Source organism: Homo sapiens, chromosome 5 (genome assembly GCF_000001405.40).
Source record: "Homo sapiens chromosome 5, GRCh38.p14 Primary Assembly".
Lineage (NCBI taxonomy): Eukaryota > Metazoa > Chordata > Mammalia > Primates > Hominidae > Homo > Homo sapiens.
This window is the reverse complement of record NC_000005.10, coordinates 180,019,409-180,044,222: the sequence shown is the minus strand read 5'-3', so window position 1 is coordinate 180,044,222 and position 24,814 is coordinate 180,019,409. Positions and strand designations below refer to the sequence as shown.

Genomic DNA, 24,814 nt, shown 5'->3' with positions numbered 1-24,814 from the left:
AAGTTGGCAGGTAAGAAAAACGGAAGTACCGTTATTCTGAATTTTAACAGAATTGCTATTGACAAATTTTAAAGGCTCATAATTATATAGATATTTTACACCATAATATGTCTTCACTTAATAAATTGCTCAAGTGTAAACAACTGGTATTAAATTTTGGAGTAATACTACTTAATTATAGTCATCAGTCATGAAAAGTTGTTATAGAACCGTTGTTTTCATTATTTATATTTTCTTAATTACAGGAGGGAATAACTAGGTAGAATGAGTATACTACAGTATTAAGTTCCTGTTTATGAAAACCTCTTATTTTCTTCTGAATAATAAATACCACTTTTTTGAACAGAAGCTTCCTATCCTTGCTTATTTTGTATTGTACTACCAATATGAATGTTTTCAGAGACCTTTTATGGATGATGATTAGATGAATTTTGGGAAACAGGAACATTCTTTTGCTTATACAGGCCGTTGTTGGATTTGTTTTGATCATGCTGTTGTTCATAGAATCTGTTCTCAGTGGGCGGGATTCCTTTAGCAGAGTTTTAAAGTCCTCCTGCAGTATGTTTGATAACTTTTGCTCTGTGGTTGCACCCCTTGCTGTGTCTTTTCATTCTTAGAATATTATGAATATTACTGAACTGCTGTCTTCTGAGTGGACTGTGACACTGTCGAAAGAGGTAAAAAAGATGAGGCTTGGGATCTGTGAGTGGTGGTTACTAAGAGCAGAGGAGTGTGGGGTGCTGCTGAGCGTGGGGTAGCTCACATATTTTGGCACAGAAACTCCCAAGGGGACCAAACTGGATCACCAAGACAACATAGGATGAATGTCAGTGAAACAAACAAAGGGAAAGAGTGTTTTTTAAGCATTGAAGAATGAAGGAATTATTACTGTTTTTTAGAGATAGAGTCTTGCTCTGTCACCCAGGCTGGAGTGCAGCGACATGATCATAGTTCACTGTAATCTTGAACTCCTGGGCTCAAGCGATCCTCCCATCTCAGCTTCCTGAGTAGCTGGGACTACAGGTGCGTGCCACCATGCCTAGCTAATTTTTTTGTTTTTTATTTTGTGTAGAGATGAGGGTCTTACTATGTGCCCAGGCTAGTCTTGAACTCCTGGCCTTGAGTGGTCTTCCCACCTTGGCCTCCCAAAGTGTTGGGATTACAGGTGTGTGCCACCACGCCTGGCCAGAAAGCATTACTCTTGGCTTTTTCACGTGTAAAATTCTGTGAGATAAGACTATCTAAATCTTTATAAATAAGTACAAATTAAAGATGGGAGAATTTCAGTCACCTGTGATAGTTACACAGCTAGTAAGCAGTTGATCTAGACCTTGGAGCACAGTCTTGCTGATTCCATAACTATGTTGTTTGCTTTTTACTACATTGTGCATGTATGCGAGACCACAGGGAAGAAGAGATAAGTCACAGACAAATGATTAAATGTGTTGCACAGAAGGCAGGGGTACACATCACTTTAGATATTCTTGATTTTGCGTTTTCTTCCAGGGTTTGTGCAGCAGTATGTTTTGAAAAATAACGAACAGAACACCTAAAACCAGTTCCTTGGTTATTCCCCGTTTGGATACAGTATTAGACATTTTTCTAAGAGGAGATTATCGTAACAGGTCACTGAGCTGCTTTTATTTTACAGCATAATTATCGGTGAAACAGATAGTGATGAAAGTAAACAATCTGTTTCAGGATTTTAAAGTTTTATAGTGCATCGTCTGTGTCTTTCAATAGTTGACTCCTAAAATCATGACATAGGCTTCTATCCCCGTTTAATTTGATTGAGGAAGGGTTAAAGGTTCAGAGTGCAGAAACCTTTTAAGGAAAAGGGTAGGTAATGGTCGTATACAATATCAATCATGAAAAATTGTGAAAACATTCATCTTCCATTTCATGTATTAGGAGACCTCTGGTAGCAAATACACTCTTGGTGCAGTCTCTCACCACAATAGTTGAAAGAAAATTTGGGGAAAGATATTTAAGTGGGAATGGTAGATGTAATAGTTCTCTGAAGTTACTGGCATCTTTACATTTTACAATTTAAGTCGTGTAAGCATTTAGTTTCTTTTGCTAGGCATGTGCTTCCAGGTGTGTAGAAAGCCAACATTTTCCCACTGGCGTCATCTCTTTATCTACTACAATTAATACTTCATGTTTTTATGATTTGTTTTGAGACAAGGTCTTGTTCTATCACCCAGGCTGGAGTTCAGTGGTGCGATCATGGCTCAAGCAGTCTTCCCACCTCAGCCTCCCCAGTAGCTGCGAATTCAGATGTGCCCCACCACACCCAGCTAATTTTTTTGTATTTTTTGTTTCACTTTGTCGCCCAGGGTGGTCTCAAACTCCTGGGCTCAAGCAATCTACCTGCCTCGGCTTCCCAAAGTGCTGGGATTAACAGGCGTGAGCCACCACACCTCGCCTTGCTTTTATGATTTATTTACTTCTGGTGTCACCTTTTTAGATCCATGCGCTGTGTTCCCTTTCCTTACTTCCTTCCCGGCACACAGAGGACCGGCAGGGCTGACTCAGGGCACAGGGCTGGCACCCTCTGCCACTGTGCGCCAGCAGTCTGCAGACTCTACCTTTGGTGACTTCTCTCCCCTTCTGGGCTGCCCTTCTCTCTCATTTGAACCTGTTATAAATGTGAAAGTGGGAGTGGGAAGAGCAGCCGGGGGCTTCTTCTTAAGATTTGCAGAGGATGCCAGAACCATGATGGCCATATGTGCAGAGTGAAAAATTGAGGCGCTTACTCTGACAGATTTAAATGTACTTATGAGTATTTTAAATAAACTATCCCAAAAAATCCAGAACAGTGGCCATGTAATTTGTAGTACCAACATTCTTAGTGTCTTCTTGTAACCTGTTAGACAGATGGATACAGTAAGTGTATCTTGATACGGAGTTGTGGGGTGACTTTTGCTAACATAAATTAGAGGAATAATACATTTATTCTACTTAGATGTTATTTTAACTACTTCAACTTTCAAATATAAGCCAAAACCAAACTTTTAAATTTTCCTTAGACATTTATGAAGAAATTTGCTCTAACATGGTTGAATTTCAACAGGATCACTTAGTAACTGAACCGAGGATTATTTTGGCCTCCTCACTGGCCCCCAGTCCAGGCTCCTGTTTTCTCACTGTGGGGATAGCGGTGGTGGCGGTGTGTGGAGAGGCTAGTACATGAACAGGAATGAGTAAGAGTCAGGGTGTCAGGGTTACATCAGTCACCTGGGTTTCTCGTCTGTGTTGGCCTTTTCTTCCTCCTCCCTTTACCACCCTGTACTGGATATTATCAGTCCTTTTTTATTTTTTATCAGTCTGTAAAGTTAAGAAATTTTCATTGTTTTAATTTGCATTATAGGTAACCGTCCCATGGAGCATCTCTCCCTATAGGTACTGATTCAGCTTCATTGTATTGTTTGTGGATGTATTCATAGCTCTGCTGGCAGCGAGCTGCTTCACGTGCTTTAGCTCTGTGTGGTATTCAGAAAGCAGTTGACACTTTGATAAAGACTTGGTCAGTTTTATTTATCTTTAATGTGTGTATTTCTTTTTCTTTTCAGTTGCTGATCATCTGGGCTGTGATCCACAAACCCGGTTCTTTGTCCCTCCTAATATCAAACAGTGGATTGCCTTGCTGCAGAGGGGAAACTGCACGTTTAAAGAGAAAATATCACGGGCCGCTTTCCACAATGCAGTTGCTGTAGTCATCTACAATAATAAATCCAAAGAGGAGCCAGTTACCATGACTCATCCAGGTAAACAAAAATGAGGGTTGTTGATTTTGTTTTTCTTCTTAGAAATCATTGCTTTATAGGTAAGCATTCTGCCTCTGCTGAAGCCATGTAATTTCCAACATAATCCTATTAGTATTGCCATTTGTTTGTTGGGATGCATGTTTTTTCCCCATAGTTGAATTTCTTCTTTTTTGTAAGTAATGGTGATAGCAGTCTGTAAAGCTTGGACTTATTAAATAACTGGCTGTGATTAAATCCTTAGTTGTTTTGCATTTCTACATTTTGCTTAATAACTTTGACAAATAATGTATTTGATTTGGAATCATTCGCCCAGGTTATGTCATGGATTCTCAAGGATTGCCTGTCTGGGAAGGATTCTGTTTTCATCAGGATAAATGTTGAAATTGACTTAGTAATTAATATAATTTCAGTAGTAACAATGCTTCTTTATTTCTTCTGGAAGCATTTAGGATATTTCTGATTGTTTAATAACAATAGTTGCAGTTTATTGAGCACTTACTATATAAATGCCAGGCGCTGTGCGATGAGTTTTTAAATATATTTTTTAGACAGTCTTTACAATAACCATGCATGATGTATGTTCTCTCCCATCTTACAGACTAGGAAGGGGACTGAAAGAGGTAAGGGCCAACAGAAGAGGGCTCACACCCTAGTTTTGTTGATGTTCTGTTAGTTTCACCACTCTGTCTCCTTAAGTTGAAATCCAGATAAAATTTAGTTTTGCATTCATGAGAATTTTAGAGTTTGGCTTATTTAAAGAACTAACTTTTCATCGTGTAATTTTTACATAATTATTTTTAGCAAGTTTCTTGCAAAGACTTGCCCACCTTAATTGAGAGTCGTTGGTACTTCCCCACACATCTTGATAGAATGGTGCAGATGGATTTCAACTTTAGTGCCCTCTGACTTGTTTTCTTCCTTTCAAACTAAGCCTTTTAGAAGTAAGATATACTTTAGGAGGCCAAGGTGGGAGGATCACCTGAGGTCAGGAGTTTGAAACCACCCTGGCCGACATGCTGAAACCCCTGTCTCTACTAAAAATAAAAAAATTAGCTGGGCACGGTGGAGGGTACCTGTAATCCCAGCTACTGAGGCTGAGACAGGAAAATTGTTTGAGCCCAGGAGGTGGAGGTTGCAGTGAGCTGAGATCACACCACTGCACTCCAGCCTAGGTGACAGAGCAAGACTCCATCTCAAAAAAAAAAGAAAAGAAAAGAAGTAAGGTGTATTTTTTCCAATTGCAAAAGTAACACATGCTTATTGTACAAAAACTGAAACTAAAGAAAAACACAAAGAATAAAATAAAATGTGTGATTTTTCACTATCCGGAGATCACTGGGGTCGTGTAACTTTTAATTTATTCAGGGAAAGCAAAAGAAAATTAAGGGGCAGTTTAATTTAGCTGGACATCTATGTGGAAACACAGGACTCGAGGGTAGTTTTTCTGCTAGGTTTCAGAGCAGGTGCCGGTTTGCTTTCCTCAGTTGTCTCAGAGGGAAGAAAAACTATTTAAAGATGTGGGCCTAATGTAACTTATCTTCATTCCATGCTGATTTCTTCTTTACTTAAAACATGAAGAAAAATGAATAGGGAGAAATTCAACTGAGCAAAATGTATTTTTCTTTCTTATTAATGTTGTTTTACTTACACAAAACCACAGAGAAGTAGCTAGAATGAGAGTCTTTTAATAAAAGTATGAGATGATCTGGGAATTATGAGGGAATTGAAATCTTAAAAAAAAATTAAATTACTTGTATTTAAAAAGGATGGGAAGCCTGTATCAATGCAGCATTTCCCAGCTGTGTTCCTTGAAATGTTAGTTTGTTTAGATATGTTCCTAGAGGACTCATGGGGAAACAGTAAGTTTCAGAAAATGCTTGAAATGTAGTCCACATTTAGGGGCTCCTAGGACTTATTAACATTTTTGGGTCTCTGAGAAGTCTTAAAGAACCTGTTTTGGCTGGTCGCAGTGGCTCACACCTGTAATCCTATAATCCAAGCACTTTGGGAAATACTAGGTTAATCAAAATAAAAAAAAAAACAAAACAGGCTTTTTTTTTTTCCCCCTCCCCGAGACAGGGTCTAACTCTGTTGCACAGGATGCAGTGTGGTGGTACGATCATGGATCCCTGAGCCTGGGGAAGCCAAGGTAGGAGGATTGCTTGAGCCCAGGAGTTCGAGACCAGCCTGGGCAACATAGGGAGACCCCATCTCTACAAAAAAATACAAAAATTAGCAGGTGTGATGGTGCATTCCTGTAGTCCCAGCTGCTTGGGCGGCTTGGGTGAGAGGATTTCCTGAACCTGGGGAAGTTGAGACTACAGTGAGCCGTGATCACACCACTGCACTGCGTCCTGGACAACAGAGTTAGAAGCTGTCTCAAAGACAAACACAAAACTAAACAAAAAACCCTGTTTTATTTTGAGTAATCTAGTGTTTCCCAAACCTATTTGACCATGTAACTCTTTTTATCACAGATGAGTGTATAACAGCACAAATTAAAGAAATGCAGGGGTATAGTTTGAGGATATATTTAGGAAGTGGAAGGTAAGGCAAACAGTGGAGGTGTGCATAAGAGCAATAGGAAACGGCTTTATGTTGTGATTAGATTCATAGACAGTTAGAAAACATAATGTGGGAAAGTAAATTGGGTAAATTGGAACAATACTTTGGAGAGAAATTTGGCATTATGTGGTATAGTTAAAAGAATCTGCACACTGCGATCATTAATTTCACTCCAGATACATACTCTAGAGTACTTTTCCATCTTTAAAACTTGAATGTGTAGCTCAGAATCTTGTTAAAATGCAAATTCTGATTCAGTAAGTCTGGAATATGACCCAAGAGCCTGTATTATTAACAAGTTTCTAGGTGACACTGATGTTGCTGGCCTACAGATCTTGATTTGAGAAAGAAGGCAGTGAAGAAGGGAAACCTAGTTTTAGTCCCAGGTTTTCCACTGACGTGCTCTGTGACATAGGCCAAGCTGCCTCCTGAGTGCGGGTTGGAGGATAGAGGCCTTCTGTAAGGCCTCTTGTGACTCTAAATCTAGACTCTGTGGAGGGCCATGGATGCCTACGGTGGAGCACAACTGCTGTTTGCCCTTCTCTCACATTTCACCTCCAACCGTGTGAGAGCCAGCGGGCAGATTTCATATACTCACACAAGCACTGATAGCCTCTCTCTGTCCTTCTTTCCACCCTTGTTACTCTCGCACATGTGCATGGACGACACGTAGGAGAGTGTTACAGCATTGTAACAGCAGATTATTGAAAACACCTGCATCTGTCATAGGAGACTGGATTAATTGTGGCACGTTTATGCAGCAGTTAACTGTCAGTGGATTAAAGCTACATGTATTTACATGAATAAGTCTCCCAAACACAGTAAGTTATAGAAGAATATTTATAGTTGGATATCATTTGAATACAATTAAAATGCAAAACTTTTTAATTAAGTCATTTAAGAGCATGTATATAGGTATAAACTAAGAAAAACATACATAAGATTAAGAAATACAAAATTTAGGGTAATGGTTGTCTCTGGAGAGGGAAGAAAGGAAATAGGATCAGAGAGAAGTAAATGTATCTATAATGTTTTATTTCTTAAGCTGAGTGTGGGGGTAGACAGACATTATATTCTTTGTAATTTTTGCTTATTTGAAGTATTTCAAAATAATCATTAGAGAAAAACTTTGTGAAATATTTATAAGGTAGGATTAAAAATAACAGAGAAGTAGGGGTAGCACTTCCGGTTAAGACGAAGTGAAGAGATCAGCAAATCCTCTTCCAAAAAAGCAACTATAAAACTGGACAAAATTGACGAAACAGCCATTTCAGTGTTCTGGATATTAATGAAGGGACAATAATCTGAGACACATTTATGCTTTGAAAAACTTCTAGACTTCAGGTAAGAGCAGTGGAAATTTGTGGTTTAGCAGGGTGCTGCTTCCCAAACTCCCCAAGCTATGCTGTGTGGAGTTTCTGCCAGTGTGGAGCAGGCTGCAAGGACTGGCAGTTTCTGTTTGCAGTGGTGAATGACACCAGAGTCCAGTGTCACTGTCTGTGGAAGTGACTTCACAGAGGTGGGCTAGCAGAGGAGAGCCAGTGACTGGGCAGTTCCTAGGAAACCAGTCTTATTAAAAAGAAGGAGGAAAAAGAACATAGAACAAGAAGAAACTGAGTGGAAACATCATGGTTGCACATCACAGTGAAAATAGATTTCATGTGTTTAACCCAGCCTGTTACTAAACAAAAGTGAACAAGCAGACAAGGCAACACCACCAACTTTAAGGGGGAAAATATCAGAATCCAGAGTTGCTACAATATACTGTCTAAAATGTTCACTTTTCAACAGATTATAAGACATGCAAAATATAGAGATGTTTGACTCATATTCAGGAAAACAAAAGTCTATAGAAACTGTCTATAAGTGTTCCCAGATAATGGATTTAGCAGAGACAAACTTCAAAGCAATTAATATAAATATGTCCAAAGACTAAAGGAAACTATATTAAAGAAATAAAGTATGACAATAATGAATGGCAGCAATGAGTCAACAAATAGAGATTCTCAGTAAAGAACATAAAAATTCTATAAAAGAGCCGAGCCAGACAGACATGCTGGAATTGGAGAGTACAATTTTGGAAATGGAAAATTCACTAGAGGCCTTCAACAGCAGATTCAAAATAGTAGAGGGAAGAATCAATTGAAGGAAAATGAACAGAGCCTCAGATGCCTGTGGGACACTGTCAGACACACCAACATATATCAGAGACCTAAGATACACAAAGCAAAAACTGACAGAATGGGAAGGAGAAACAGACATTTCAATCATTATAGTTGGAGATTTTAACACCCTACTCTTAGTAATTGATAGAATAGCTAGATAGAAAATTAGCAAGCATATAGAAACCTTGACCAACACTATTAACCAACTTGACCTAGCCAACATATGTAGCACACTCTACATACTGACTAGAATACACATTCATTTCAGGCACACATGGAGCATTCTCTCGGATAGACCATATGGTTGGCTGTAAATCAAGTCTGAATATATTTTCAAAGACTGAAATTGTACAAAGTGTATTCTTCAACCACAACTAAAGAAAAGCTGGGAAATTCCCAAGTCTTTGAAATTAAGCAGCACACATCTAAATAACACACGGGTCCAATAAAAAATTCAAAAGGAAATTTTAAAAACATTTGGAACCAAACGAAAATGAAAACACATCCGAATTTGTAGGATGCTGGGAAAGCAGTACTTAGATGAAAGTTAATAGCTTTAAATACCTAGGTCAGTAAACAAAGATACTTTTGCCTTTGGAAACTATAAAAAAGAGGAACAAACAAAACCCCAAACCAGTAGAACAAAGGAGTTAATAAAGATTAGAGGAGAAATAAGTGAGACAGAAAAGTCATAGAGAAAGTCAACGAAACCCAAAAGTTGGTTCTTTGGAACTATCAATAAAATTGACAAACCTTTAGATAGACTGACCAACAATAAAAAAGAAGACAGTTTACCAAAATCACAACTAAAAAAGGACATCACTACTGACTCTACAGAAACTTAAAGGATTATAAAGGAATATTGTGAAGAACTTTATGGTAACTATGTCTGGGGTCCCCATGACCATCCACAGGTTCAGTGACTCACTAGGAGGACTCACAGGACTCACCACATAGTCACACTCACAGTGAGTCACTCTTATTAGGTAATGGTGGGAATCCTCCCCAAACCCATGTTCCCAGATGCCACCCAAGGGCCAAGATTGTAAGCAGGCCTTTCGACGGATAGTAGTTCAAACCTGCTATGTTTACTTTTTTCTGTATACTGACAAATTAGACACCTTAGATGAACAAATTCCTAAAAATATACAGATTGTCAGAATTGACTCAAGAAAAAATAGCATATCTGAGTAGCTATAATAAGTAAGAAATTGAATTGGGGATTAAATATCTTCCCATGAAATTCGCTGGTGCAGTCTATCAAATATTTAAAGAAAAAATAATACTAATCCTTCACAAACTTTCAGAAAATAGAGAACATTTCTCAACTTATTCTGTGGAGCTGGTTTTTACCTTCATATCAAAGCCAAACAAAGAGATCCATGGAAACTATATACCAATATCCCTTACGAATGTAGGCACAAAAATTCTTTTAAAATTATTAGCAAATAGAATCTAGTAATATATAAAATGGATTAGATTCATTACCCCAGGAATGGGATATATGGTTTTTTTTTTTACATCTGAAAATCAATAGAATAAATGAAAAAGCCAACTAACCATTTTCGGTAGGTGCAGAAAAAGCATTTGACAAAATCTCAGTACCCATCATGATTTAAAAAAAAAAAAGCATTTAACACATTAGGAAATATCCTCAGCCTGATAAAGGGCATCTGTGGAAAAGCCACAGTTAGCATCATATTTGATAGTGAAAGACTAACTGCTTTCTCCCTAAGATCAGGAACAAGCCAAGGATGTCCACTCTCATTAGTTGTATTCAACATTATACTTACTCAACATTTTTCTTGTGGTTTTAACCATTGTACACAGGGAAGAAAGAAATAAAAGACATCCAGTTGGGAAAGGCAGAAATAAAATTCATTATTCATAGGTTGTGTATGTAGAAAATCAGATAGAATTTATTAAAAACCACTAGATGTAATAAACAAGTCTTGAAAGAATGTAGAATACAAAGTCATTATACAAAAACCAATTGTATTTCTCTCTCTCTCTCTTTTTTTTTTTTAAAGGCAGAGTCTCGCTCTGTTGCCCAGGCTGGAGTGCAGTGGTACGACCTTGGCTCACTGCAATCTCTGCCTCCTGGGTTCAAGTGAAAGTGATTCTCCTGCCTCAGACTCCCGAGCAGCTGGGATTATAGGCGCACACCACCATGGTTTCACCATGTTGGCCGGGCTGGTCTCGAACTCCTGACCTCAAGTGACCTGCCCACCTCAGCCTTCCAAAGTGTTGCGATTACAGGCATGAGCCACTGGGCCTGCCCAAAAGCCATTGTATTTCTATATGCTAGCTATGAACGTTCCAAAAATGAAATTAAGAAGAGTTCATTCTCAATAGCCTAACAACAAAAACTTGTTAAAAAGAAATGTAAGAATTGCACATTGAACCTACAAACATTACTGAGAGAAATTCAAGAAAATCTCAGCCAAGTGTGGTAGCACACACCTGTAATCCCAACACTTTGGGAGGCCAAGGAGGGAGGATCACTTGAGCCCAGGAGTTTAAAACCAGCCTGGGCAACATAGGGGGACCCTGTCTCTACAAAAAAATAAAAAATAAAAAAAGTAGCCGGGTGTAGCAGTATTCACCTGTGGTCCCAGCTACTCGGGAGGCTGAAGTGGGAGGATCATTTGAGCCCAGAAGGCAGAGGTTGTGGTGAGCCCAGATGGTGCTGCTGCATTCTCGCCGGGCAACAGAGCGAGACCCTGTCTCAAAAAAAAAAAAAATCTGGATAAATGGAGAGACCTTTCATATCCTTTGATTCCATTGTTCAGTATTGTCAGGGTGGCAGTTATCTTAAAATGGATATATAAATTCCTTGTGGTATGTACCTATGCAAATCACAGCATGTGTTTTGTAGAAATTGATAAGCCGATCCTAAAATTATATGGAAATGCAAAGTACCTAGAATAGCCAAAGCATTTTGGAAAAAGCACAGCATTAGAGGACTTACACACTCCGTTTCACAACTTTAGTAATCAAGGCATTGTGGTATTGGTAGAAGGACAGGCATATAGATCAGTGGATCCAAATTGAGAATCTAGAAATAAATATCTTTACGGTCAATTGATTTTCAACAAAAGTGCCACGATCATTCAGTGAGGGAAGGACAGTCTTTCAACAACCAGTGCTGAAACAATTGTTATCCACATGCAAATTTAAAAAAAGAAGCCGGGCCTCGTGGCTCATGCTGTAATTACAGCACTTTGGGAGGCTAAAGTGGTAGAATCACTTGAGCCCAGGAGGTTGAGGCTGCAGTGAGCCATGATGGCACCACTGCACTCTAAGGTGAGCCACAGAGCAAGATTGTTTCAAGGAAGAAGGAAAGAAGGGAGGGAGGGAGGAAGGGATTTAGACTATATAAAAATGACTTCACTTGGATATTAGACAAAATGTAAGAGGTAAAACTGTAAACTTTTAGAAGATAGTCTGTGATTTTGAACAAGAAGTTCTTGCCTATAACTCCAAAAACACTGTTTATAAAAAAAATTAGATTTTATCAAAATTAAAAACCTTTGTCATTGAAAAGAAACCATTGAAAAACAATGAAAAGATAAGCTACAAACAAAATATTTTTCAATCATACATCTGATATAGGACTTGCATCCAGAATATATAAAGAACTCTTATAAATCAACAAGATAAACAACCTAGTTTTACAACGGGCAAAAGGTTTAATAATTAGACATTTTATTGATCATTAGACAAATGCAATCAAAACAACAGTGCAACCAAAACAATACTATTTCACATCCTCTAGAATGATCATAATTAAAAAGTCATACAGTACCAAGTTTTGTTGAGGATGTGGATAAACTAGAATCCTTATGTATTGCGAGTAGAAATGTGAAATGGTACAACCAGTTTGGAAAATAGTTTGGCAATTTATTTAAACATTGAACATAAAAATACCATATGACCCAGCAGTCCCACTCCCAGATATCTAAGAGAAATGAAAACAATGAAATGTCCACACAAAGACTTACACACAAATGCTCATAGCAGCATTGTTTATTATGGCCAGAAAAGTAGAGACAACGCAGTTGTTCATCAACTGGTGAATAAACAAACAAGTTATATGTCCATAAAATTGAATATAGTTTAGCAATTACAGTTGGCCCTTGAACAGTGAGAAGGTTAGGGAGGGACACTGACCCCCACACAGTCAAAAAGCTACGTATAACTTTTGCCTCCCCCCAAATTTAACTTTTTTTTTTGAGATGGAGTCTCAACTCTGTCACCCAGGCTGGAGTGCAGTGGTGTGATCTTGGTTCACTGCAACCTCCGCCTCCTGGGTTCAAGCAATTCTCCTGCCTCAGCTTCCCGAGTAGCTGGGATTACAGGTGCGTGCCACCATGCCCAGCTAATTTTTGTATTTTCACTAGAGTTGGGGTTTCGCCATACTGGCCGGGCTGGTCTCAAACCCCTGACCTCAGGTGATCCACCCACCTCAGCCTCCCAAAGTGCTAGGAGTACAGGCGTGAGCCACCGTGCCCAGCCCTAAATTTAATTACTAATAGCTTGCTGTTGACCAAAAGCCTCACTGATAACATAGTCGATTAATACATACTTTGTTATATATGTTATATGCTGTTATATAAGAAAATGTTATTAAGGAAATCATAAGGAAGAGAAAATATATTTACTGTTTATTAAGTGGAAGTTGGTCACATCACCATAATGGTTTTCATCCTTATCTTCTTCCCATTGAGTAGGCTTAGGGGGTAGGAGGAAGAGGACGGTTGGTCTTGTTATTTCAGGGATGGCCAAGGAGGAAGAAAATTTGCCTGTAAGTGGATCTGGACAGTTCACACTGGTGGTATTCTCAGCTGTAAATGGAATTAACTCTTGACACATGGATAAACCTCAAAAGCATTATGCTAAACGAAAGAAGCCAGACACAAAAGGCTACTATTATATGATTCCATTTATATGAAATGTCTAAGAAAGTCAAACATACAGAGACAGAAAGCACATTAGTGGCTGTGTAGGGTAGAGCTGGGCATGAAGATTAATTGCAGTGAGCATGAGGGAGCTGGCATGTTGGCAAGCATCAGTAATCCCAGCTACATCGGAGACTGAGGCAGGAGCACCCTTGACCCCAGGAGGTCAAGTCTAAGCCTGGGCAACACAGCAAAACCCCCATCTTTTAAAAAACAAAAATAAAACACCAAAAAGGGAACATGTATTTTTAAAAACGGCGTGAGTGAATTTTCTGGGGGGTGATGGAAATGACCCAAAACTGGATGTGATGATGGTTGCACATCCCTGTAATTTTACTCATTGTACACTTACAAAGATGAGTCTTGTAGGATGTAAATTATACCTCATTAAGGCTGTTTTTAAAAAGTATAATGCAAACTAAAGTTCAAAAGCAACACAAATACAAGATTCTTAAACTGAAACAGGTTTCAGTTGTATGTCCTCAAGTATTCTTACTTGGAGAGACAAAGCAAGTATTTATGAGGTGATCTTTTTTTACTTTTATTTGTATTTTGAGTATTCAAGATAGAAATTAAAAGAGCATATAAGGATAGAATGGTATTAAAAAGTGGACAGTGGCTGGGTGTGGATCACGCCTGTAATCCCAACGCTTCAGGAGGCCGAGGTAGGCGGATCACCTGAGGTCAGAAGTTCAAGACCAGCCTGGCCAACATGATGAAACCTCATCTCTACCAAAAATACAAAAATTAGCCGGGCGTGGTGGTACACACCTATAGTCCCAGCTACTTGGGAGGCTGAGACAGGAGAATCCTTGAACCCAGGAGGCAGAGGTTTCAGTGAGCTGAGATTGTGCCACTGCGCTCTAGCCTAGGCAACAAAGCAAGACCTTGTCTCAAAAAAAAAAAAAAGAGGTGGATAGTGGCCAGGCATGGTGACCCACACCTGTAATCTCAGCACTTTAGGAGGCCTAAGCAGGGTGTAGCTTGAGTCCAGGAGTTCTAGGTCAGCCTGTTCTAGACATAACAAAACCCCATCTCTACTAAAAATACAAAAATGAGCTGGGCGTGGTAGCACTCACCTGTAGTCCCAGCTACGTTGGACTACATGGCTGTATTGTTCACAAAAGCAATGGAAGTAAACCCATTTGTTTAAAAAAATTCTGCAATATAATATTGCTTTTATTTTTAAGATTAGTAAAAATGCCATTTTGTTTGGGAATTTGTGAATTATCTGCAAACTACTCATCTTAGTGTGTGAAAAGATTCTTGGTTCTTGGTTAGAGCTTTTATCCTTTTTCTTTGAGCACTTTCTGTTTTCCCTTTGAACTTCTAGGCTGTTGCCCATTGTCTCCTGTTTTTCAGACAGAATAAATTCTTGGTTTCATGCTGTTCTCAGTGGAGATGCTGCCTGTCACATATTCATCACCTTAGAAAAACATTATTGAAATACTTCATCCAATTTATAGATCACTGTTTCCATAGCTGTCTCAGTTTCTTCTGGTTGTTCATCTTCCAAAATCATATTTAATAATTTATCACAGATTTTAATTTTTTATGACATTCTCAATCATTTTTAGTTATAGAAGAAAAAAATGTTTTAGTTGGATGATATAGTACCTCTAAAATAGAGAAAAGAATTTGGCATAAATGTCAAACAGTCACAAGATTGGGATTTGAATCTTAGACCAAGTTGATTATCAGCTTTGTGATTTCGGGTAACGGAGTCCTTAAACTGGCATCCTCGTCTACCTAAAAGAGGGTGATTGCAAAATTTATTGAGCTAACAAACTGTAATGTATAACAGTTGTACAATTTTTCTTATGCCTGGAATAAGCAGTAGCTTTTATAAAATTATGAAATCAATTTTTCTTTCATTTTGAGATTGGCACTTTAAAAAAATTTCTAAGTATACTTTTTCTTCATTCTCCTGGTGTTTTTCCATATAACTTAATTGTTTAAAATATATCTAGTACAAAAAAATAGTTAATCAACAGGTATCGATTTATACCTGCTATATGCCAGGCATTCTGTGATGGACACTGTAGGGATTTGTAGAAGGATGTACGAGTGAGTGTTTGCCGGGAACACTTCCTCCCTTAGGGAAACACACACGCCTGAAGTAATTGGGGAACCACTCAGTGCATAACTTTGCATACCTACGTAGCGGGATCAGCTGTAGTGTTATTACGAAAGGGGTTCTGACCCAGGTCTGGAAGACTTCATGTAGGAGGCATTCATTGTGCCAGGCCCTGCATAATGAGGATTACTTAGGATTCGACCAGAAAGAGAAAATCCTCTCAGTAGACGAACCACATGAATCAAAAATCTGGTGAGAGGAGAGGGAGTCGGAAGGAAATGGAGAAAATCAGGTAACTGCAAGTAGAGAGAGGGAGTTGGATTCTATATGCTAATTGTTTTTTGAACTCTTGTTAGAGCTCCAAGCATAAACAAGACACACATGGTGCCTCTTTCCATGGAGTTATAACAAGCAGAGAAGATGAACATTGAGTACGAAGTCATGACTGTGGGAAGTGACTTAGGTCCAAGGGGTCAGAGAGGAATGCCTTGAGGAAACAGCATCCGAGTCGGAGTTGAGGAGTTGAGAAGAGTATTCTAGGCCAAAGGCCCCTTGTAAGTGAAGGATCTGAGGTGGGGAAAAGCAAAACAAAAGTAATTTTAAGTACAGGAAAAAAACAGCACAGCTCAACATGGTGGATAGGGTAATAGTAAATTCAATTCAGAGCAGAAGTGTGCCTAAAGCAGGGACTGTCGCTTAGTAACACGGGAGGATTTGAAAGAAGGGAGGCGTGGTCTCGATGAGGTTGATGCGGCCTAAGCTGTGCTTTCCAGCGCTGCACTGGGGTGTGCAGTCTCACACCGGCAGCAGCCACAGAGCCGGGCAGCCGGAGCCCCAGTGAATGATGGCAGCTGTCTCAAGCAGCTAGCAGGGTTCCTAGCTTCTTCTCTGCCATCTGATTGGGACCTGGAAAACCAGCAGGAAGCATTGGGTGGGAGTGTGGAGGGAACCAGTGGTGGCAACAGAAGCCCCACAGGTGACGTGTGGAGAGGAAGAGTGGAGCAGGAAGGCACGCGTCCTGGCTGCTAGGGTTCTTAATGGAGTGGGTGCTCAGGATGAGAGGGACAGTGGTTATAGAAAGGTCCTGTTTCAGTCCAGCGAGCTGCACTAGCTGAAAGCCTGTCCTAAGAATGGGGTGAGAAGTGCAGGTTAAGTAGCACAGAGAACACACACACTATCAGAAGCTTCTCTGAGTCTCGTCTTTTCAGCCAGGCATTCACGGTAAATCTCCAGAATTATGATCCTCTTCTGACTTTCGTATGCCATAACTCTCTGCCTTTCTGTTTCTGCTTATACTCAGAGAAGGTCATTATACACTGGCAACTCCTTGCTTTCCAGGCTCATCAATGTGTTACTCAGTTCCCTTCCTCCACAGATAACCCTTCTCACCCTGTAGGGCAGTGCTGTCTACAGAAATTCAAGAACCCTGGTGTCAGAATCACATAAGCTAATTGGAAAGACACTGATTCCAGGATCCTCCCCCCACCCCACCCCAGACAGTCTCAAGGGATGGACCCAGAGACCCGTGCTTTCACCCCGTCCTGCTCCTGTGCCAGTTTTGCCCTCCCTTCATCATAGGGCAGAAGCAGTGGTTTGGCAGCTCTCTGTGCTGTGCATTTTGATGTGAACTAGTAAGAACTGGTAAAAGTCAAAAGGAGAGAAACCCGGATCATTGCCCTTACTGAGTTTACAGTCCAAGGCTCCTGCAGTCTTCAGAGCCCTCTCTGTGCCTCCATGACAGTATTGTCCTTTTCCTTTCATGTGGTCATTCTTTGCATACTGGACTGGCAGTAAGGAAAAGCCCAGGGTTTCATGCAGTTAAAGTTTGTGTCATGTCTTTCGGTTCTCTGCAGTGGTCAGCAGAATGCCCTGAACAAAATAAATATGGCTTGCTCTGAAATGATTTTATTAAGTTATTTAGTTTGGTTGTTAAGCTTTCTTTTCATTTAAGGCTATGTTTTATACCTAATTTTAAAATTCCACATTGGAATATAAGTATTCCCTATATACTGTATGTACCAATACAAGTGTAAGTATTTTGTTTTCTTGCCTTGTCAACCAAGAGCTTGGTCCTGTTTATTCTAAAGCATGCCCTTCACCTGGTGACTGAAGGACGTCTGTTCCAGTGCCCTGTCCATGACGTCATTGACAGGAAAGGCTACTCATTGTGTGGTTTCACTTGTTACCTCTGGTTAGCAGAGTGAGTTCTTTGTCATGTAGTTAGCGGATCTGTGGTAGTATGAAGGGGACGTTATGGGTTCTTGGATAGTTTACAATAATGCATACTTGTCTGAAAATTATGGATTTATTTTCCTGGTTTTTAAAGATTTATATAGACTTTACTGTTATTGTTTAATCATCTTAAGTTGTGTTAAATCACTGTCTGATAGAATTAGCTGTAGTTTTATCTGTATGTCTGTAAGAATTTTGTGGACATTCTTTCCATTGTTGAAAGGAAGATGAGGTAATTTAGATAAACATGTAACCAAATAATAATGTTGCTTTTTAATCTTTTTATCAATCAGCAATATCAGATGCTTCTTACTGGGTTTTTCTTTTTTTTTTTTGGATGGTTGAACAAAATTAGTTGAATGGCTCTTCACCTTTTTTCCATCATATTCTCTTAAAAACGTATTTAGCTCTATATTTATTATCTAGCATTGAATAGAAAAATGTCACACTTTGTAAAATATAGAAAATTCACTGTGAATACAAAAAATACTTTATGAAAACAAGTAAAAAGAAATCACAAACACATTGTAGAATACCTTTACGTATCAGTAATTTGGGCCACTTAACGTAAATCTATTTTCTTTATTCTAAATGCCTATCAAGAAAATGAGTAATATAAGTATACTATTGTTTTACCGTTTAAAGTTTTTTAGCTTCTAATTGAATATGGATTTAACTACCTCAGAAAAGATGGAGCTTGGAATTGAAGTGTACTGCTGTGGCAGGAAGTAAGGGTTTAAATTGCATTTATATTTTTGCCTGAGTTTGCACATGCTTCTACTGTATCTTCCATCTGGTTCATACATTTTTTTAAAAAAAATTCATAATTATCAAAATCTAAAACTGAAACACTTAAGCAGTAGCTTTAAAAAAATAAAAATAGCCTTTAATAAAATAAATGCAATGGTTCCATTTTAAAACTTCCATAAGCTCTTAATTTTCTTTTTTCTTTAAATCTGAAGTGGAACTGGAGAGTGCCTTCACCAGCAGATACATGAGACTGTCCTCTAGCCTTCCTTGCAGTCTCCGTGTCCCAAGTGGGTTGTTTGAAGTTGTCACTTGATTTACTTTTTTGTCTTTTCTGTGCTTCTCTTTCCTCACTGGCAGCAGAAGAGGAGGAAGGTAAAATCATATAAAGGATCTACATGGGTTTGAAATACTGTTTTAGAAATCAGTTTCCTAGGTTCCAGGACGGAGGATGTTCTTAACTGATAGAAGTTCATATGATGATGGACCTGACCTTGGAGTTAGGATCTCAAGAGTTGGTCTCACTGGCACAGCTGCTAAGGAGGATCATGCAGCCTTAGGCTATAGGTGTTAGAGGTCTGGGTGAGGATCTCTACCCCGCATTGATGCTTACAGTGCTTCTCGATTCAGGATGGAAGTGGAGGACAAGGCAGGGGTATTTTGGGACAGTCCTTTTGCTCTGCAGGTCTGTCTTTTGTATTACAGAGTGTTTCACCTCCCAGGTGTGGACCTGCTAAGTGCTGGTGGCACACCTCTGCGCCTGCGACAGCATGGAGACCCCTCCCACAGGGCTTCCAGACACCCCCAGGAGAGCTTTACTGCCCCTGTTGAGACCCACTGTCAGATGCTTAAGTTTGAGGAGCGTTTAGAGGAAGAATGAAAAGGGACCCCTCATTCGTGAAGGGAGTGGGAATGGCAAAACTCATGAAAAAACGGTAGGCTTTTATGTTTGCCTACATACTAACAGTTCTGCTGTTCTTTATTTCTTTCTGAATTTCCAAGTTTCCGTTTGGTGTCATTTCCCTTTTTTTAAATCATTTCATGCAGCACAGATCTCCTGATGATGAATTCTCTCAACATTTATTTATCCGAAAGTGTCTTTTTTTGGCCATCATTTTTCAAAGACAGGTATAAATTTTTGTGTTGACAGAATTTTCCTTTCAGCACTTCAAAGGTGTTGTTTGTTGTTTTCTGGCTTACGTTTTTTTCTGATGAGAAGTTGTTCCCTTTTATATAATGAGTCTTTAAAAAAAAACTTTACTTTTTAGAACTGTTTTACATTTATGGAAAAATTGGGAAGATAGTACAAAGAATGTCTGCAAACCCTGCACCCAGTTTCCTGTTAGGTACCATGTGACATGTTAATTTGTTGTACCACAGGGAACTAATGTTGGTACATAATTATTAACCAAAGTCTATTACTTTATTCATATTTCCTTAGTTTTCACCTAGTTTTTTTTCTGTTCTAGGATCCCACCCAGGACACCACATTACATTTAGTCATCATGATCCATTAGTTTTCTCTTGGCTGTGATACTTTTTTAGACTTTCCTTGTTTTTGATGACCTTGACAGCTTTGAGGACTGCTGGCCCAGCATGTTGTAGAATGTCCTTCAACTGGGACATGTTTGATAGTTTTCTTATAATTAGGCTAGGGATATGGGTTTTTGGGAGGAAGACCACAGGGATTTGTAAAGTACCATTAGCATGCATCCTGTCATACCAAGTTTATGTGCTATCAGTGTGAAGTATCACCAGTGATGTTGACTTTGGTCACCTGGCTGAGGTAGTGTCTGTCAGGTTCTCCACTGTGAAGTTAACTCTTTTCCCCCTGCCATATGATAACTTTTGACACCACTGTGCACAGCCCACACTTAATAAGTGGGGATTTATGCTCCATCTCCCTTAGGGTAGAGTATCTACATAATTATTTGGAATTTTTCTGCATGGGTGATTTGCCTCTGCTCCATTTATTAATTTATTCAGTCATTTATTTATATCATTATGGACCCATGGGTATTTATTTTACACTCTGGATTATAGTACAGTACAACTCTGTTACTCAAATTATCCTAGCTTTGGCCACTGGGGATTCTTTATGTTGGCTCCTGTGTCCTTTGACATGCCTCCATTGTTGTGGGTGTTGGATTTTTGTTTTTTTGTTTTGGTTTAGTTTAGTTTTTGAGCACTTTCTTACTTTCTGGTGCTGTAAGATGTGCCAGGCTCCTTTTGCATATATTTTCTGCCCCTTGAGCATTATTGAACTTTATCAGTAATGACACATCAGTCCTAGAATCAGCCATTTCTCCAAGGAACCCTGGTTTCTGTTTATTGGAGAGTGGTATTAAAAACCAAGATCCGGGCATTAGATGTGATGTTACTGCCGAGATGCCTGTTGCTTCTGGGCCTTCTCAGCTGACAGAACAAGGAAATACATGCGTGTATCCTAACTCCTGCATATCTACATATCTATAAATATTTCTATCTGTAATCATCTGCATTGATATTAAGCTAACAATGAGTTCATACTTATGTCTCCAATTCTAATATATTGCCACATGGATCATTGTAGCTCTCTCTCCTTTCTTATCACTAAACTCCCACTCCTAAATGAAAAACCTGGCTCTTGCCATCCTACATCTATTTACTTAATTATTCAGCTCACTGAACTCTCAGATTTATAAATTCTTTAATGTAAATAACAGATTTGAAGGTCTTTTAGAGTTCTGGTGCTTGGCGTGAAAGCTTCTGTAGCCCACTTTCCTCCCAACCTGAATCTCCCTTGGTTAGAATGCCGAACTCTCTACTTAATGTTTCTTTTCCCACCCATTTAAAATTCTTTTATCAAAAGCTTGTAAGAAAGCATAAATGTAAGCATCTTACTTGAAAGAGGCACAAAACTAGGGAGGTGAAATCTTGAAACATAGATAAGAGGAGTATTCCTTAAGTCAACCTGCAAATGGGTTGTTTAAAACTAGTATAGCAAAGGTTTGTGGAGACGTGGCTTAAGTGGAGACGTGGCTTAAGTAACAGTTCAAATGGAGAAGGAGAATGCCTGGGAACCTTCAGTCACGTGAGCTCCGTGTACATTGATGTGTGCCGTGGCTTCCAAACATTACATTGGAATCTTAGGCTGTATCCCTGTGGCCATAATCAGATGTAAGGAGATGTTAGTGTCATGCTACTCTTGATACTGAAAGCATTGTATTTGTAGTTCACATTTACGTAAGTGAAGACACTGGAAAACTGATGTCCAGAAAAGAATAAGTTAGGAAAGCTCTGTACACAGGGTCTTATGAAGCATAATTTAGAATTTCAGCATCAAAATGAATAACGTTAGTAGCTGTTTCAACTGATTGAATAAAATAGGAACCATGAATCTGTACTGATTTAAAAAGTAAAAGTAAACTGAAGGTTTCATGAGGATGGAATATTTACCTAGCCTCAAAGCACCTCCCCACAGAATACATACTAATTACAAAGGGGAAAAGAGGAACTTCACAGTGCACATGCCTGGAGGACATCACCTTTACCAAATTATCAAAGTGAACTTTACTAGTAATGGCAAATAAAAAAAAGCTCTCGGCCGCCTGGTGGTGTACACTGAAAAGAGCGCAGCCTCACCTCCGTGTTGTTACTGCCAGCGGCACCTGACCTGAATCTAGCCACAGGGAAATACCTTCGACAGATCAACTGGGCCGAATGTAGTCTTCGAAAGTGCCAAGGTCACAAACACCAAGAAAGACCGAGAGACAGTTGCAGACTGACGGAGATGGCTATGACGTGACGACTGAGTGTAGCATGTGACTCGGACCTGGGCTGCTGTAAAGGACGTTATTGGGAAAGTCGCAGAAGCTTGGATGGACTTCGGGATTGGATGGCAGTGACACATCAGTGTTAAGCTCCTTATTTGGGGGTTGTATTATGTTTATAAATTTTGTTTGTAGGAAAATACCACATATTCGGGGGTGATGAGGCATCATGCCAGGAACTTACTCTTGAATGGTTCTAGGTTTTAAAAGTTTTTATATGATATTTCGAATTTTTCTGTAAGTTTTAGATTCTTTAAATAATAATAATTATTATTATTTTTAAATGAATGATTTGGGACTCTAGAATTAGTATGGAAAAAAGACTGAAGTGGGGACCCAGGGAGGCTGTCTTTGCACATTTTAAGAATTGTTATGTTGAAGAATTCTCATTGGTTCTGGGATGCTCAACTTAAAGTGGGAATGTTTCTTGTATTCCATGACATCTTAGAGTTGCTTGACAGATTTTTTTCTTCATGATACATAATGATGTACCTTGTGGTTGATGGTATTTTATACATCAATAAATGAAAAACAGGTTTATTCAGTGGTGTTTTTCCGGAGGAGAGAACCACGAGCCACAAACAGATGTTTAGAAATTTAGATTTTGGCCAGGCGCAGTGGCTCACGCCTGTAATCCCAGCACTTTGGGAGGCCGAGGCAGGCGGATCATGAGATCAGGTGATCAAGACCATCCTATCAGGTGATTGAGACCATTTTGGCCAACATGGTGAATCCCCGTCTCTACTAAAAATACAAAAAAATGAGCCGGGTTTGGTGGTACGTGTCTGACATTGCAGCTACTTGGAAGGCTGAGGCAGTAGAATCAGTTGAACCCGCGAGGCAGAGATTGCGCCACTGCACTCCAGCCTGGCGACAGAGTGAGACTCCGTCTCAAAAGAAAAAAAAAATTAGATTTTAAGGAAGGAAGACCTAAGACTTAAATCCAGGTGACCTGTGGACAGAACTACTCAGTTGAGAGGATCAGTAATTTGTGGGAGTTCCTGTGTTGTGTTGAAAGTTGGCAACCCCTGGAAATTCTTCACTGAGAGTCTGTGGCTCTCCACTGATTGGTGGCTTGTCTTCTTCAGTGCCCACCCCCCTTCTGCCTCTGTGTGTGAAGGAAGAAAGCTTTCTGTTCTGGGCAGGTGCTTGCTCCTGCCCCCTTTTCTTTCTCTTGACATACAGTCAAGAGATAGCATAAGAAGAAAAGCTGACATTCAAGTGCTGTACTGTGGCCCCTTGGCCCTACTTGTATGTGATTGAAGAACTTCCTGTTCAAGGAAGAAAGAAGAGAAGACCCTTGGCTTTTGGTGACAAGCTGTAGCCCACTGTCCTCAGGAATTATCAGTGAGTGACTACCACTCAGTGGCTTACACATTCGGCTTCCCAGCAGACGCATGGCAGGAGGTTCAGGTTCAAGCATTTGCAAAATTACAGGTTGGTCTTTGCTGTGCGTCTGTGGGTGCTGAGGGATCCTGTGGTGGTGGCGTACAGCACGTCCACACCAGTCACTTCCACGTGGGGAGACTTCACTTTCAGTTTTGTGCAGCAGACCGCGTTCTTCCTCTCCGTAGTCACGTGCTTCCCCGCCTGTCACTGCTCCCCGTTCATCAGCGGTCCTGCCACCATCCTGGGCAACTTGAGAATCCACCTGGAAAGTGAACACCTAACCGAAAATTCCTTCCACAGGCCCGTCAGTCATTCCACTTCTCCAGGAGCCTGGTCCCATAGCTGCTCCCTGGGCCTCATCATCTCCCAGAATTGTTACATCTCGAGTTGCAAACTCCTGTGTCCTGTGTCCTGACCAGTGCCTCTTCCCTTTCTCCCCCTCTCTTCCTGTCATTTAGTTTTGTTGAAGCTTCCAGTTCCCTGGACCCTTTCTTAGTTTTCTCCCAGTTTCCCTCCTGGCTTCACCTCTCCGTCCTGCCCAGATTGCATGAACCACTATTCCAGTCACTTTGCCCAACAGTTTCACTGGGTCCGAGAGTGTTCACCGTTCCGTGACTCAGTTACCCTCAGGGCCATGTGGCTCCCCAGTGCTTGAGTGTCCAGTGAAAGAGTTTGCACTTTATTTTTCTGACAGAAGGGATACATCAAAGGCTTTTGAAAGCAGAGTGACAGCAGGTCTATATTTTAGGAAAACTACTGACAAGTCTCAGCAGGAAATCTATAATTGATATAACCTCCATCTGTCAGAATTATTGCTATATTCATTTCCTAAAAGAATGTAGAATGTATCTGTTTTTCCCCCTTGAGTTCTTTAAGGGATCAGTGAAGAGAAGAATGAAGATTGGGTTTGAAGAACTGAAAGTTGTGGATGAACATTTGAGAAGGACTTTCATTAAGTCAGTGGAGTGAGATGAGAAGTCTTGGGATCAGGAGCCAGCAGTCTCCCTGAGACACAGGCAGCCAGGGCTCTGCCCCATGTGCAGCTTGACCCTGAATACACCTAGCTGTTGCCTCAGCAGCAGTCCTTCTGGAACTT

The 24,814-nt window shown here is 39.9% G+C and overlaps 1 protein-coding gene across 3 annotated transcripts in view, besides 2 other annotated features; it reads left to right on the top strand.

Moving 5' to 3' along the window:
* The window catches only part of RNF130 (ring finger protein 130), a 160,109-nt gene that overhangs the window by 27,537 nt on the left and 107,758 nt on the right, over positions 1 to 24,814 (top strand). For all 3 annotated transcript variants that reach the window (NM_001410829.1, NM_001280801.2, NM_018434.6), the window contains exon 2: positions 3,576 to 3,770. In NM_001410829.1, the coding sequence (NP_001397758.1) occupies positions 3,576 to 3,770 (195 nt within the window). The remainder of the gene's footprint in view (positions 1 to 3,575; positions 3,771 to 24,814) is intronic.
* Positions 8,983 to 10,182: an enhancer, noted in NCBI's record as "MED14-independent group 3 enhancer chr5:179461041-179462240 (GRCh37/hg19 assembly coordinates)". NCBI's record gives its function as "activates an origin of replication core promoter dependent on BRD2, BRD4, P300/CBP and CDK7 cofactors, and independent of MED14, by STARR-seq in HCT116 cells {active_cell/tissue: HCT116}" and the evidence as "EXISTENCE:reporter gene assay evidence [ECO:0000049][PMID:35650434]".
* Positions 16,300 to 16,594: a silencer, noted in NCBI's record as "tiled region #9602; HepG2 Repressive non-DNase unmatched - State 23:Low, and K562 Repressive non-DNase unmatched - State 10:DNaseD". NCBI's record gives its function as "represses a minimal TATA promoter and a strong SV40 promoter by Sharpr-MPRA in HepG2 and K562 cells {active_cell/tissue: HepG2 | K562}" and the evidence as "EXISTENCE:reporter gene assay evidence [ECO:0000049][PMID:27701403]".